General features: G+C 36.0%; 1 pseudogene across 1 annotated transcript in view; it reads right to left on the bottom strand.

Moving 5' to 3' along the window:
• EGFEM1P (EGF like and EMI domain containing 1, pseudogene) overlaps positions 1–16,629 on the bottom strand; it is a 581,078-nt pseudogene that overhangs the window by 108,102 nt on the left and 456,347 nt on the right. The window contains exon 6 of the transcript NR_021485.2: positions 13,112–13,234. The product of NR_021485.2 is annotated as an EGF like and EMI domain containing 1, pseudogene (transcript). The remainder of the gene's footprint in view (positions 1–13,111; positions 13,235–16,629) is intronic.

Genomic DNA, 16,629 nt, shown 5'->3' with positions numbered 1-16,629 from the left:
AGTGCAAGAGACACACAAAAAGATAAAGCTTTATAACCCACTGGGAAAAGTTCTATGTTAGAGATACATCCTAGCTCCATGTGGTGATGTATTATAATATTTCCCAAGTGCTGTCCTGATCCAGTTTTGAATCATGGCTAAAAACCTCAATTCCCCTTCACAGGCAGTTTGCTAGACCCAACCCCAACTACTTACCTTGGTGAGAATCCAACATTCCTGGGATGCAACACACACATACCCAACTGCCAGAGTTTCCTGGATACCTAACACCCATGAATAATATCACTATCCTTGGGCTTGTGGAATTATTCCCAATCCTCAGATAGATGGTGATACTTAGCCTGCCCCTACCTTGTTACCATACATAAGCTGCCTCCTCCAGTTCTAGCTTGCTGTTACCCTAGTCCCAGGTATAACTCAATGTATAGCCCTGCATGGCAGCTCTATCTCATTTGGAGCTGTAAGTGGCAACAAGCCCTGCTTTTCGTCTGCCTGAGTGTCTTTTTGTTGTGCTCTGCCATCAAAATAATATTTAAATTTTTTAAAACAGGTGGCAAATTTGGTTTTGAGTATGTTAATAGATCTGGGAAGTCTTCTCAGGAGAGGTGAGTCCACAGTAAGCTTTGAAACACAAGTAGAAGTTAGGGACAAAGAAGTAGAGAAAGGGAGAACTTAAGAGAAGGGAGTGTTGATGTTTATCAAAACTACTGGATGAACAGATGCAGAAGCAGGTGTGTTTGGCAGATAGAACACTAAGAGGAAAAGTGTAAGGAATGTGGATCCCCTGAGTACACTTAGGGAGCTGCAAATTTTCTGGGTGTCTGAGCCTGTAGTATAAAGTATGGAGCAGAAACTTGTTACGTGCGACAGAAGTAGCCAGAAGTCAGACTCTGAATCATTTTGTAAGCCATAGTAAGGGTTTGGGGTAAATTCTAAAAGCAATTCTAAAAACAATAAGAGGTTTTAAGCATAGTAAAATAATTTTTAAATTACATCTTTGGCTCTGGAAGTAGTTTAGATAATGAGTTAAGGGGAGTAAGTATGGACGATAACCCTGGTTAAGAGGCAATTGCAAAAACATTTCTGTAAGAGATTATGAGGGCCTTAATGTAAGCAGTCATAGTGGAGATAGCTCTTGGGGAGTGTGACGGAAGAAGAGCCTATTGGTTTTACTGGAGATTAGATTTGTAAAGTCAGAGTAAGGAGATGCCATGACATTAATCTATTCATGGAGGCAGAGACCTTATGACCTAATTACCTCTTGAAGGTCCCATCTCCCAATACTATTACATTGGCAATTAAATTTCAACATGAATTTTGGCAGAGACATTCAAACCATAGTGACTCCTGGTGTACTACACTGGCCTGGAGAATAACTGGCCTGGGGTGCTGCCACTCACTAAGAAAAAAGAACAAAAGAGAAGAGAAAAGTTGGGAGCATGTGGGAATGAAGACGTGTTGAATTTTAGACTCACTAAGTTTTCCTTGCTAAGGGGACCTCCTCAAGAAGAAGCCCAGGCAGTAGCTGAGTCTGTGGGTCAACAGACAAGAAGGATTTGGTTTAGTAATTTGATTTGGACATCATTCCCTGCTAGCTACTTGTAACAGGTAAAGCTTTGCAAGTGGAAGAGATTACACAGGAGGGAGAAAAGAAAGAGCCAAATTTAGAACACTGAAAATCATTAAGATTTTGAGGATGAGTGGAGGGAAAAGACTCCATGAAAGAAGATACGCCATCACAGAGATGGGAGGGGACCAAAAGAAAGTTGTGTTCTATAATCCAAGAAAGAGAGAATGTCAAGAAGGAAGGTGCTATGGTTTGAATGTCTCTGCCAAATTTCATGTTGAAATTTAATTGCCAATGTAATCGTATTGGGAGATGGGACCTTCAAGAGGTGATTAGGTTATAAGATCTCTGCCTTCATGAATGGAATAATGCCATTATTACAGGAGTGGGCTTTGGATAAAAGGATAACTTTGGCCCCCATTCACTCTCTGCCTCACATGCCCACTTCTGCCTTCTGCCATGGGATGACCATTGCCAGATGCTGGTGCCATGCTCTTGGACTTTCCAGCCTCCAGAACTGACAGCCAAATAAACTTCTGTTCTTTTTAAATTACACCATCTCTGGTGTGTTGTTATAGCAGCAGAAAACAGACTATGATAGAAGGCAAGATCATTACTTTCAAGATATTAAGCAAAATAAGGTATGAAAAGTACTCCTTGAATTTAACAGTGTATAATTTATCAATAACCTTGGCAAAACTAGTTTTAGAGAGAAGTTTTATTTTAAGATAGAGATAAAGAAGATGGTGATAGAGGAAAAAGAAGCATGTAATGGAGCCATGTTCTAAGGAGGAGGGCAGCTGAGATCCTATCCAGAGATGGGAAGATTAGCCTGAAATTACAGCAGAGCACTTTTTCCTCAGAGTGAAGAGCAAAGTAGGCAGAGCTTAGAGTTAATTTTAAAGTTCTGGGTGGGAGTAAAAGTTGGGAGGTACCTTAGCTAAAAATTTCTATTTTCTCTGCAAAATAAAATATGTGTATTCAGTAACAGATTATGAAATCACTGAATTCTCCCCCCACCCCCCAAAAAAGATGTCTCTGTGACTTGTGTCAGAAAAATGCAAACTCTGAAATCATGCTATTCTTTTCTTGTCAGTAGCTAGAAGCTATATTGGGATACTAAATTTGGATTTAAGTTTTCTGCTCATATCTGCTATTTGCAAGCACTTATTCCTTCTGCCTCTTTTAGATGTAGGCAATACTGTTTTATGTTTAATGTCTTTCTGCACTTTGTATCCTGTAAAAATGCATAAGCTTCCTGTAGCTTGCTGCCTTCAGTGCTTTTGGAAAAAGGGAGATATAAATCTTCAACCTAGGGATAAATGAGAATGGGAGTATGTTATTATATAGTCAAAACATAGTTGTGAATATTGCTCTAAAACTCAAAAAATATCAAAAATATAAAGAAAAGGGGGGATTGTTGAAACAGTCAGTGAATGTATGCTTTTAAAATCTACTATCTTTGTCTGTTTGGCTGCTATAACAAAATACTATAGACTGGGCAGCTTATAAATATTTTTTCACAGTTCTAGAGGCTGAGAAGTCCAAGATCAAGGTACTGGCTGATTCAGTGTCTGCTAAGGGTACATCTTTTTTGTAGATTGTACCTTCTTGCTGTATCCCCATATGGTGGAAGGGGTAAACAAGCTCCCTCGGGCCTCTTTTTTATGAAGGCACTAAAGCCACTCATGAGGATTCTACCCTGGTGACTTAATCAACTCCTAAAAGTTCCCATCTCAAAATACTATAAACCTGGGGGTTAGGATTTCAACATATGAATACTAGGGTCACAAACATTCACACCATAGCAACTACTAACAAAAATGCCTAATAGAAGTAATGTGATCACCAAAGCCAATTTATACTTATGGTTTCTGACCCTTCATAATTTTACTTAGTTCTATGGCTATAGCCAAGTTCCAAGGTATGGAACTATACTAATAATATTACCTAATATTTTTTACTTGCTTGCTCTGTGTCAGGCACTGAACTAAAGATTTCACTTGCATTGTTACTTTTCCTCAACTGTCCCCTTACATATGGAGAAGCTGAGTTATTAAGCAGTTATGTCATTAGCTCAACGTCTAACACCTTGTAATATAAAAACTACATGGTAAAGTTGATCATCAGAGGAATGCAAATCAAAACTACAATGAGATATCATCTAACCCTAGTTAAAATGGCTTTTATTCAAAAGACAGGCAGTAACAAATGCTGGCGAGGATGTGGAGAAAAGGGAACCCTTGTACACTGATGGTGTAAACTATGGAGAACAGTTTGGAGGTTCCTAAAAAAAAAAAAAAAACAAAAAACACCTAAAAATTGAACTTCCATATGATCCAGCAATCCGTCTTGCTGGTATAGACCCAAAGTAAAGGAAATCAGTATATCAAAGAGCTATCTGCACTCCTATATTTGTTGCAGCCCTGTTTACAATATATACGATTTGGAAGCAACCTAAGTGTCCATCAACAGATGAATAGATAAATAAAACGTGATTCCATATACACAATGAAGTGCTCTTCAGCCATAAAAAAGAATGAGATCCAGTCATTTGCAACAATATGGATGGAACTGGAGACCACTGTGTTACGTGAAATAAACAAGGCACAAAAAGACAAATGTTGCATGTTCTCACTTATTTGTGGGATCTACAAATCAAAACAATTGAACTCACAGACATAAAGAGTAGCAGGATGGTTACCAGAGGCTGGGAAGGGTAGTTCAAGGCTGATGGGGGGAGATGGCGATGGGTGGTACAGAAAGAATGAATAAGACCTACTATTTGATAGCACAAAAGGGTGGCTCTAATCAATAATAACCTAATTGTACATGTTTAAATAACTTAAAGAGCATAATTGGATTGTTTGTCACTCAAAGGATAAATGCTTGAGAGGATGGGTGCCTCATTTTCCATGATGTGCTTATTTCACATTGCTTGCCTGTATCAAAACATCTCATGTACCCCATAAATATATACACCTACTACGTACCCACGAAATTAAAAAATAAAAAAACTAAAAAGAAATAAACAAAAACTATGTGGTAAAGCTAACATTGTTACTCTGAAAGGGGAGGAACTTTTTTCCCAAGATATACTGTTTTCAGATTAGTATCATTTTTCTCTCGATCCTAAATTCCATGGTATATTTTCATGAATGAATAATTTAAAGCTAAAGTCTTGGATTTCCAGTGGCACACAATGAAGAATCTCCCATTCTCAGTATCTCTGTATTGAACGGGTGTTCAGGTTGTGAGAAAATAATGTAGGAGTAGATACATAAATCATTAATCTAAGCCACCATTTATTGAGCATTCACTGTGTGTCAGTTACGACTTTAATCTCTTCACATGTAAGTTTATGCTATATGGTGGGTATTCTATAATGCACTATGAGATTACTTAGGGAACACAAGAAAACAAAATTAAATATTGCTTAATATTAGGGTTTTATCATTTAATGTCATATATTTTATAAAAGGAACTAGAAAAATAACTTAAAAATTATTCTGAAGGAAGACATGTAAAGATACTTGCCACATAAAGAGAAAGAAGTACAAAAAGCCAATTACCAAATGTGAAGACCACTACGCAAACATTTCATTATTTTGTTTTGTTGTAATCTCCAGTACAGAAGGTGGAGTTCATCACACCACAAGGACATTCCTTATCACTCCCTTGTCCTTTTAAGAGCCTCTCTTATTTGTTCACTTTTAACCCCAGAGCCCACTCTCAATCTTCCCAATTTCCCATGGATGATCATTATAGTATGTTACATACATTCTTCTTTATAAGGTATGTGCTCTTTCACGATGTACAACATGATTTTTGTGAATTATTATCCTGATTTTAGTAGATATAGGTATTCACATAGACATAGAGATGATATGGACTCTGAAAATCAGGGACACCCCGTAACTGGGCTAAGATCACACAACTCTTACGTGATACAGTCAGATTCAAACCTCAATCTGTCTTTATCTAAAATTGTCAGTCTTACCTTCCTGAGTCTGCAAACTGTACAAAAACTACAGAAAAAAAAGGGAAGATTTCTTAATGTGTTCCTGAAACTCAAATAGTTGTAAAAAGTTACTAAACTGGGTTAACAGTCGATGCTCTGGATGAAAAACTTAAGTTCATGATTTTTCCCTAAGGCCACAGATTGAGAATGAGACGGGCAGAGAAAAAGTGTTCCTTAAATTTAACTTTTGGGAATTAAGTTTATCATCTGCCACACAAAAGTGCTTAATCTTGAGAGGGTGATGAATCTGATAATGATGGAGAGATGCCATCAATCTGACAAACTAAACAATTTTTTTAACCTGACATGGCCCTGTTCAAGACATCAGCTGTCATCTGAAATGAATTCTGTTTCTAATTTGTCTTCATAAATAATGCAACTAATTGAAAGGTAGTTACAATGAAAGTCTTTAACCTCTTTCATATCCTATTTGAGGGCAATCTCTTTGCATTCCCTGGAAAGAATCCTTCCTCTTATCAAATAAAACTTAGACATCAGTGATCAGAACACTGAGATCAAAAACAAAAGAACTCATTGTGAAGACCACCACATCTAATAGTTTTCTCAATCTTTTTTTAAAATTAGCATTATTTTAACATGTCAAACTCATAAAAATCTGATATAAGAAAATTTATTCAAGCTCAAAGTTTTAGTAAGGACATCTTTATTTTAATCAAGCTCTTGCTGGTACACCTACCCTCTCCTTGCCACACAACTTCTGCTTAATTATCATTAAAGTATCACCATTGACTGCACCATGTCACACACTTGACCACAAACAAAATATCTAAAATCTTTAGATTATATTTTCTAGGTCATCTTTCTTCTTTTTTTTTTTTTCATTTAGTGAGACTAAAAAGGGGTCACTGGGTTCCATTGTGCAATGAATATCACATTGGACTTCTAAAAAGAGACCATTGAACAAAAACAGATCCTGATCATTCCCTGCAACTGGAAATAAAGAATTCTTGCATCAGAGACTGAAGTAATTAAAATGTTCTTTATCTAAGGTTTCTCTATGCAGACATCAGATTCCATTTGTTTATTTATGAATGCAGATGTTAATAAACCTATGTACTGAAAGCATGAAAGCAGTAAGAGAACTATGCAAGCATTAAAACTTTGAATCATTTAATTATTTCTTCCCTCTGGGAAGGCCAATTTCAGCAAATACATCAAGGGAAGAACATGATTATGAATGGAGATCTGAGCTGAGCATGTTTCATAAGGTTGTTATTAAAAATAAAAATTCAAGAAAGATTTTGTGAGGTATATCAAATTATAGCCTTACAAGTTACTTAAAATGTAAATTACACAGTTAAATACTGAAAATACGGGTAATATAAATTATTTTGGCATGTAGCCCCTGGCTCTTAAAAAACATCCTCTAATAATAAAAGCAGTTTAGTCTACATTACCATTACTTCTCATATTTAGCTATATCTACTAGCCCCTGCCTCTCAACCATGGAAAAAAACCACCATTTAACAGCTATCGAAAGACAATGTACTTTATAAAAGAGAATATCAGCAACGTTCCAAAAGCTAGAAATACTGGAACAACTTTGTTTTCCCTAACAAGCAAATCCATCTGGGTGAAGTCCTTATATTTTTTATATTCTAATAGGTTATATTTAAGTAATACAATGTGCAAGGGAATATTCTAACTATTTTGCAAGTACTATGTATAAAAATAGAAGAGCAAAATGAAGATAGACTAGAGGAAGGGTGAATAAAGGAGAACAGAGGAGAGACACAGATGATAACTCCAAGTCAGAACCCTGGTACCCAGAGTGAAAGTAACAGAGAAGCAGCAATTGAAAGTGAAAATTGCACTGTCATGAACTCAAAAGGAAGATTTAGAAAAATTAGTGGTTAACAGCTATCAAGAAGAGAACGGAAAAGATTCCACTTGAAGTTGACAATTAAAAGGTCATCAGTGTCTTTCATTTAGTCTGAAACCCAATTATACATTCATAAGTCTATATATTATGATGTATTATTAAACCAACACAAATAAAATTGCTTGATATTTCAGATAAGAGAGAATGCCTTTGGCTGTTGTAACCAGAGAAAGCATTACAGGTCATTTGACATGGAACATAGTAAGTGTAGTTTTGATAGGCAAAGACTTGGGGGTGAGCTAATTTTTAGGCTAAGAGTAAAGCAAAGTGCAGAAGCAGAAAAGGGCATGGCTTACTTAGAGAACTGAGAGTAGCCAGGTTTTGTTGGAGCATATCACAGAAATGTAGGAGAGAAGTGATAAGATTGAACTGACAAGAGATGATATAAAGTAGATTTATTTCTTCAGTAGCTACCTTAAAAATACATTGTTTTAACCCTTAGCTGTGTTTACTAAAATGTAATGTAAGAATTTCTTTTAGCAGTGCTTTCATGATTTATCTTAGTCTTTTAAAACATATTGAACAGACGAGACAGGCAGATCACATGAGGCCAGGAGTTCCAGACCAGCCTGGCCAACTTGGTGAAACCTCATCTCTACTAAAAATACAAAAAATTAGCCAGGCGTGGTGGTGCGCACCTGTAGAAAAAGTGCTTGGGAGGCTGAGGCAGGAGAATCACTTGAGCCCAGGAAGCGGAGGCTGCAGTGAGCAAAGATCACATCATTGCACTCCAACTTGGGTGACAGACAGAGACTCTCTCAAAATAAAACAAAACAAAATTGAACAGAAGTTATTTGAGGTCATAGGATCAGGAGTGAGATTAGCCAGGATTTCCTGAAGACTAAATTTTTCTTTCTCACAGTAATTTACTTACTTGATCTCTTTCTCTCTCAGACTTTCTATCTCTAAGATAGGAAATTGGACTATCATAATCCTTGGGTCCCCTCCAGATATTATTCTGTGATATGGAAAACAGTATTGTCACAAAAGCACCGAAGTTTTTTTTTTTTTTCAAGAAGAAATGCAAGTTACTCATTCATTTTTATTAAACTAGATCACAAAATTCTCACACTGCTTTTATGCTTGTACTCTATAGAGCTGAGTTATTTCAACACTTTTTAAATAAAATTAGAGCTCTATAAAATAGTTATGCCTGATTCAGTAGAATTTTTAAAATACAAGTTAGCAGATTATTTATAATGAACTAGTAATTTTAGAAACTGTAAAATTATAATACCTTAGTGATGAAGTAATTTTAAGCCCAATTGTCCAATTTCTGTTTTGCACAGGAGGCAGCCAGGGTGTAGAGAGATTAAATGACTTGCTTAAGCTCACATGCCAACTTGAATTTTATTGTGCCACAGTCCCGAGACCACATAGATGAGATTCAGTGTTCACTAATCTGAATATAAATTTCTCTGTCTTTCTGATGATTGCTAAAATCTATTTTCCATCTTTTAAACTGTTGGTCTCCACATAAAAGAAAATTTAAAAATATAAAAATTATTCCATAATATGCATGTTAAGGGAGAACACCAATAGCAAAGCAAATGTGGCAAGAATTCCACTTTTGTTTGCTTCCCCATGCTGTGTCTGCACCCTTCCATCAACAAAATGCAGCTACTTTCACTTGCTGTGATGCTCCTCATACGTGGGGCATGCTTTCAGGCTGGTTTTCCTGATGTTCTTTCAGGAGAAATGACAGTGGGTCAGGAGTCATGCTTCTCAAGGACAGGGACTGAGGTTCCTAGCCTCAAATCCCATTATAAAGAAAGCTGTTGAGAGAAGCATTCACTGCACAACTTTGCATCAGACTATATGACAGTATCATGAGACAATAACATGATATAACAATGTCATGAGATCCTTCTCCTACATACTTTTTAAGAAGTGACATCATAATGACAAAAATATATGTGGGGTATTTTGGGGGTGCCATAGACATCTTAAAGAATCTGAGCAAAGGCCCTGGCCTCCAAAGCAATGACACATTCCAAAAATTTGCTGACAAGTCCATGGGTTCAAACTGTGGTCCACTAAACAAAGATCCCCAGATTTATTGCAATCCCATTGTATCAGCAGTCCAAGCAACTTGTATGGTGAGCCACATGCCCCATGCACTCATACTTCCTGCCACCTTAGCCAGCTGCCATGGACTCCTTCCCTTACACCACTCTATGCTGCTTGATTGTTCTGACGGAGGCTGACTGTTCTGCACTGCACACACACCACTACAAGAGCACAGCCCTGAGAAAGGAGACCCTTTTGAAATGAAGTCATCTGAAACTCTGTAAGTGTCTGTGTGTGGGGAGTTTACTTTATTGTAGCTTTGATGAAGATAAAGTACAAAAAGCACCAGAGGCTCTAACTCAAAAAGTCACACTAGTCTTATCCTATGACTAATAAGCAGAATGGGGAAAAGGAAAGAAAAGAAGGAAAGGAGGAAGGAAGAAATGGAGGCACTTAATTTCAAGTAGTCTAATGTATGAAATCACAACATTTCATAACTTTATCTTCTTCTCTGTGACTCTACCGTGAATCATAATAAACTTCCATCTACTACAATCTCCCATTAAACACCAACCACCATATTCAGCTTTCTACCAGGTAAAAAATCTCAACGGAAATGTGAGATAATTCAATGGTTTTTTTTTTTTTTTTTTTTAAATCACTATTAGTGGAGAGCAGTTTGGAGATATCTCAAAGAACTAAAAGTAGGACTATCATTCGACCTAGTAATCCCATTACTGGGTATACACCCAAAGGAAACTAAATTCTCCAACCAAAAAGATATGTTCACTCGAATGTTCATTGCAGCAGTACTCACAATAGCAAAGACGTGAAATCAACCCAGATGCCCATCAGTGGTGGACTGCATAAAGAAAATGTGGTACATATACACCATGGAGTACTATGCAGCCATGTACAAGAACAAAACCATATCCTTTGCAGTAACATGGATGTAGTTGGAGGCCATTATCCTAAGTGAATTAATACAGAAACAGAGAACTAAATACCACATACTTTTCACTTATAAGTGGGAGCTAAACATTGGATGCACTTGGACATAAAGATGGGAACAATAGACATGGGGAACTAATTGTTGAGGGGAAGAGTTGAAAAACTACCTGTTGAGTACTATGGTCACTGCCTAAGTGATGGGATCAATTGCACCCCAAACCTCAGCATCACACAGTATTCCCATGTAACAAACCTGCACATACCCCATGAATCTAAAATAAAAGCTGAAATTTCAAAAATAGATAAATAAATTAATGTAAAAAAAAAACTTACCCTGTTTACAAGATAGCCTGGAATACAGACCAGCCTGAAAGTCAATTCTCTGCAATAAACCCTTTCTTTCAGAACAAATAAGCAAATAGTTATTGTTCTTAATCTTACACATTATTTATGTTTCAATACAAAGTGCTTAAGTTATTCTTGGGCTCCTTTTAAAAAGACTGCTGTAAATGTAAGCTGTATCAGCTGAAATTCTTAAGACCACCCTTTGAAACCAAAACTTCAGTGTATTAAGTGGAAAAGGCATCAAAATTTTTGCAAGGGTCAAGTGCTGGGCTTTTAGTTCAGTAACTTCTGTAGAATGGTATCAAGGGGTTAAACACTTTAAATGACGGCAATCATTAACTCTACATTTCTTAATAGCTTAATTCACTCGAGATATATATATATATATATATATATATATATATATAAAATGGGAGATTTATATGTGTTATCAGTATGCATATATAAATTTAATTTTTCCCTATGTTAAGATTCTGCATAAGGAGATCAGCATATGGAGCTGCAAGTAAGCTATTATCATAGTGCCCATGTATATGTACAATAATAATTAGCTTTAAAGGAATAGAAAGAGAAAAGATAACCTACAATATCCTTGTCAAACTCCACTTTTGACCTGATGTCCTTAAAAATTTTTGAAAATTCAAGGACAGTGATGGAAAGGAATAAGGGAAGAGCTTAATGATTTTACTAAGAAATAACTAGGAACTGCCAAATTAATTATACCTATAAATACAATTTAGTTGGTGACTAGAGTGTTTATTTTGCCTTATCACAAAGACCAGATATTGTAGATTCATATAAATCACTATTTGGCAAAAAATTTTTAAATCAGAAACAAAAATTTACCAGGTCAACTTTTACTGATAAATATCCCATCTGCATGTATCAATAATCCTGCTGCTCTTATGTATTTTGTGATTGAGAGACATTATGGTGGCAGTTTAAAGATGTTACTAGCTGGAGACTTTACAGATTGGAAATGAGGATGGAAAGGGATTCTTCCAGCTAAAACCAGTAATCCCACAAAAAGAAAGGGTTGTTTTGATTTAAACATGCGTGTATTAATGTCCCCCAACCTGTGCTTGCTGTCGATACAATCATTATGATATTGAGCTCCTTGAAGCCTAGGATATGACTTTAGTTTGTATCTTCACTTGACTTCAAGAATTTTTTTTCTTTTTCTCTCAGAACCTGTTTTCTCATATCAAAATCAGACCTACAAATAGGACTTCTTTACCTGTTTGCATTGCCTTTTTTTTTTTAATTTCTTAAAAGATAGGCTAAGAAGAAGAAGGAGGGGTATATGTTATAAAGCTAGTTGAAATTGGCTGATTTCGATTCCAAGTTTCATAATTATCGCCTACATTGTAAGATACTGACAATTTTGTATGGATGAACTAGTTAACAAACTCTATAAACAAAAAGCCAGTAATTAAATTGTGCTGTACAATGTGCTCCTTTTTTAATATAAATATTTTCAAAAGGGACCTGGAGAGGAAGTTAGAATGCAATTTTATGTGATCTGAGAATCATCACTTAATGAAAAAAGAATATTTATGTAAATTACTTCAGTTAAAACAACAAGGAGCATTTACAAGTCATACAGGAAACATAGCATTTTTAAAGTTTTTTTTCTGTTTATGAAAGTCCCATATGCTCATTTTAAGAAATTTAGAAAATTCAGAAAAATACAAACACAAAAAATAATAATCCTACTACCCACAAATAGTATTAAGAAATTTTGATGCACAATGAACATACAGAATTTCAGATTTCACATGTGTAGTTTTAACTGAGCTTGAACAGTCCTAATATATTTGGCATATAATCTGCTATAATTTTGCTGGGGCTTGAATTCTAATCGGGGGTTCTGAGTCCAGTTCTTTCCAGTCAGGGGGTTCTGAGTCCAGTTCTTTCTAGTCTAAAATGAGTGACATTGTTGCTAGTAATTATAATGGCCCAGTATCTTCACTTTATTGTAGTTCTGTGCTGTGCTTGTATATAAGCAACAACTAACAAATGTGTACTCTACTGTATATGGCAGAAATTACATGCTACAGAAATATTTACATATTTGGGGATTCAAGGTTTGCTTCTGAATGTTAATTTCTATATCTCCTTCCCCACTTTTTGTCTGGTAGTCTTTTAATAGCAAAATATATTTTTTAAAAAAATCCTAAGGGATAGAATTGTACTCAAAACTGTCAGCTTCTATAGATATTTTCACAATAGAACAACCTTTCCTTCCTGCCTCTACATGGGCAGGTCGATTTTCATTGAAAACAGCTTCAAGCTGGTTCTAATATTTACTCACTTATGCAGGTGCGTTCATCAGCATGCAGTCTCTATCCCGTATCACATTCACAGTGGAAGGTGCCCAGAGTGTTAATACAGCGCTGCTGGCAGCCTCCATTCACCACTGCACGTTCATCGACATCTAGAGGAGGAAGACAGATGGTCAGGATTACAATGTCGTTCCAATGTCAGCTTCGAAGAAGTGGCACAATATTTCTTTGATACACAGTATGTGTTATATTATACAAAGGCACCATCTCTGTTGCCACAAATCTTTGCTTGTTTGATCCATTTTGCTTCATCGTGTAAACAAGAAAATGTACCTAGAAACTTTATCGAGCTTTTTAAAGCCCATCAATGATGAGCATAGGGATTGCTCGTAATTTTCTATTCTTCAAATATTGGTTAATTAGACAGATCTGAGATGTAGGTATTTCCTTGGGGAAGGAAAACTGGAGGGGAGAATTACAATAAGCTACTCTATCAGGAGCAGCACACGCTGGTAGATAAACACCTATTATTGGTCTGGCACTGCTGAATAAAGCCAGTAATAGAGTCAAGACCTTGAATCTCCCTCTCATGTGCTATGAGGAACATCAGGGCAGAGATAGATAAATTAAAATGAAACCATGGTTTGGTGTTCTTAAAAATATACATTTGTGTCATTGATTCAACTTCTTCCTTCTCACTCAAGATGCCATTTTCTGAAATACCATGTTTATATGAGTGGTTACTTTAATTTTATAAAAAATAGCAAGTGGTCAAGATTCATGATCACCTATGTCTTATGATCAGCCAAGGTCATGATAAATGAATATGATCTTCATCTTCTGTTAGAAAAGAAAAATCAATTTCTCTCTCAGAAGCTACACTTCCTTGTACCCTGTGTAATCAGTACTTGTGTGTCTAAAATCACAAAAAGAAAATATCCATAAACCTAGGGAGGTATTTTCAGGTGGCTGGTGGATAGAGAAATTCTGAATGTTCTTGTTTGGGGATTTATTTTTAAATAAAAACCTATGGCTTTTGACAAGTTTCAAAGAAATAATCATCTTTCAGGAAGGTGGAGACTTAGCATAGGAACGCATGTGTCTAACGGATAGAATGCCTGCTAATGGATAGTATTCCCTGCTCCCAATCTCAGATATTCCAGCAAGAATATTGGGAATGAATATTCTTCACTAAAATATAGTCAGCCTACTAGACAATCAGCATTACAACGAGCAGCATTAATTCCACACGGCAAGATCCTTATTCAAGAAGACATCAAAATGGAGAAGTATTACTATTGCAATGACTCATCATAGCACCTTTTCAGGCTAAAATCCTATGATCTGTAATGAGTGCTTTGTACTGTAATAAAGACTAGAGGATATGACCTGAGGGAAGCAAAAGAGTTTTCTCTTAATTGGCATTGAATTAAGAGACAAAATATATAAAAAGAGGATATTAAGTCATCAAATAAGTCCCATATTTAAAAACTACTAGTTCACTCTATTTTACAATTTTATACAATTTAGTATTTTCCTTCAAAAAGTAGATATTCTGGTATAATTCCTGATATTTTCAAAGGAATCTTATTTTAAAGATAAGAATTACTGACTTTACAAAGTGCTAGGATTTTTATTATGTTTTGAGTCTGTGATAACCAACCTCTAGGTCTTTTTCATATGAACTAATGTTAAACCAGAATTCTCTATGTGTTACTTGTATTTTTACGCAGGGCTCAATATTTATGATGGCTAAATTTTTATCTTTCTGACTTTATGGTATTATTCTGTGGAGTTAAGATATAATTTTGAATCTTAATTTTGTCAACCCCCGAATTAGATATCCTTCCCAGGTTTTAAAATTTTAGACATAAGTAAAACTCTTAATTTTCAAGCATACTAAGCTTTAGATCACAAATGATTTTTGCCATCCTCAAGAGTTATTGCAATGTGCCATATATATTTAAATACATTGGGAAATGTCTTAAAGGATGCTACTTCTGATGGGGGAGAAAAGGTGTTCAAACGGGTTTAGTGCAGGGTGTGCATGGGGCTGTGCTGGACACAAAGATTTTAGTCATATCTATGATGTTCTAATTTTTTACAGGAAAAAGTTATCCAGTTGTTATTTATGCAATGAAAACAAATTTTAAAGAAACCAATATAGTATGACCACCTCCCTTGACCCACCCACCGAACTTCAATAGTTTTCTGACAAAAGAAACAAAGTTAGTGAAAATAAGAAAAATCACTGAGTCCATTCCAAAGGTAAGAGTGGGCATAGATTTTGAGAATGAATGTTCTTTTTAATATGTTTTAATGTGTTCATATTCTTTTTCTTTTTTTTTTTTTTTTGAGACACAGTCTCGCTGTGTCACCCAGGCTGGAGTGCAGTGGTGTGATCTTGGCTCATTGCAACCTCCACCCACCGAGTTCAAGTGATTCTTCTGTCTCAGCCTACTGAGTAGGTGGGATTACAGGTGCATGCCACCACACCTGGCTAATTTTTGTATTTTTAGTAGAGACGGGGTTTCACCATGCTGGCCAGGCTGGTCTCAAACTCCTGGCCTCAGGTGATCCACCCAGCTTGGCCTCCCAAAGTGCTGGGATTACTGCGTGAACCATTGCACGCAGCCTAACATGTTTATATTCTTAATCTGTCCTAGAATTTTAATTAAAGTACTATACTATAGTTGAAATAAGCATGCACACACACACACACACACACACACACACACACACACACCAAACTTCCTCTGTATTTTGAGTCAAATAGTCTTGGGAAAAACAGTGTTCGAACTTATTAGCCAGTTACCTTGTCTCTCTGAGACTCAGTTTCCCCATCTATAAAATGAGATGATAGTGATGGCCACATGTACTGTGCTGTGATTTTTTTCCTATTCATATGTAAGATTTTGGCATATGGTAATGCTTGAGATTATATGTAGAAATTAAATAATATTTTTATTCCACTAACTAGTAGAGCTAACAATATAAGACCATGAAGTGAGAGTGCATGGCAGGAGCAGTGAACAATATAGAAATCCAGAGGCAAGAAGTCCATTAGGCTTAGGGGAAAAATGAAAATTGAGTGCATGGAGAGCAGGGTGGACAATCCAAAAGTACAGTGGTTTATCTGAAATTTAGCATTTAGCTCTGTCAAGCTGGAGAATAAGGTCACCAAAGGGAAGTAAAATTGAAAAACAAACGTAAGTCTCCTTTTATTTAATTTGGATGGTAAAGCATTTCTCTTCTTGATTTAAAATACAATACATTTCTGGGCAGGTTGAGACATAATAGGCTGTGTTCACACCATAGCAAAGCAAACTTATTAAAAGTTAAAAAAAATCAATCATTTATAGAGTGGGACCAAATACTAAGTAATTGGTTTGACTTCTTTTTTCTTTTTGCCCTTTCAGAATACACTGAATTTACTGATTGGGCATTGTGTAATCAAAAGTCCTCAAACTTGGCAGCACATTAGAACCACTTGGTGAGCATCAAAAAATACCAGTGCCAGGGTCCCACCCTTACAGGGTCTGATTTA

Source organism: Homo sapiens, chromosome 3, assembly GCF_000001405.40.
Source record: "Homo sapiens chromosome 3, GRCh38.p14 Primary Assembly".
In the NCBI taxonomy this organism is placed as follows: Eukaryota; Metazoa; Chordata; class Mammalia; order Primates; family Hominidae; genus Homo; species Homo sapiens.
Note: the sequence above shows the minus strand (reverse complement) of the source record. Positions and strands in the feature narration are given on the sequence as shown.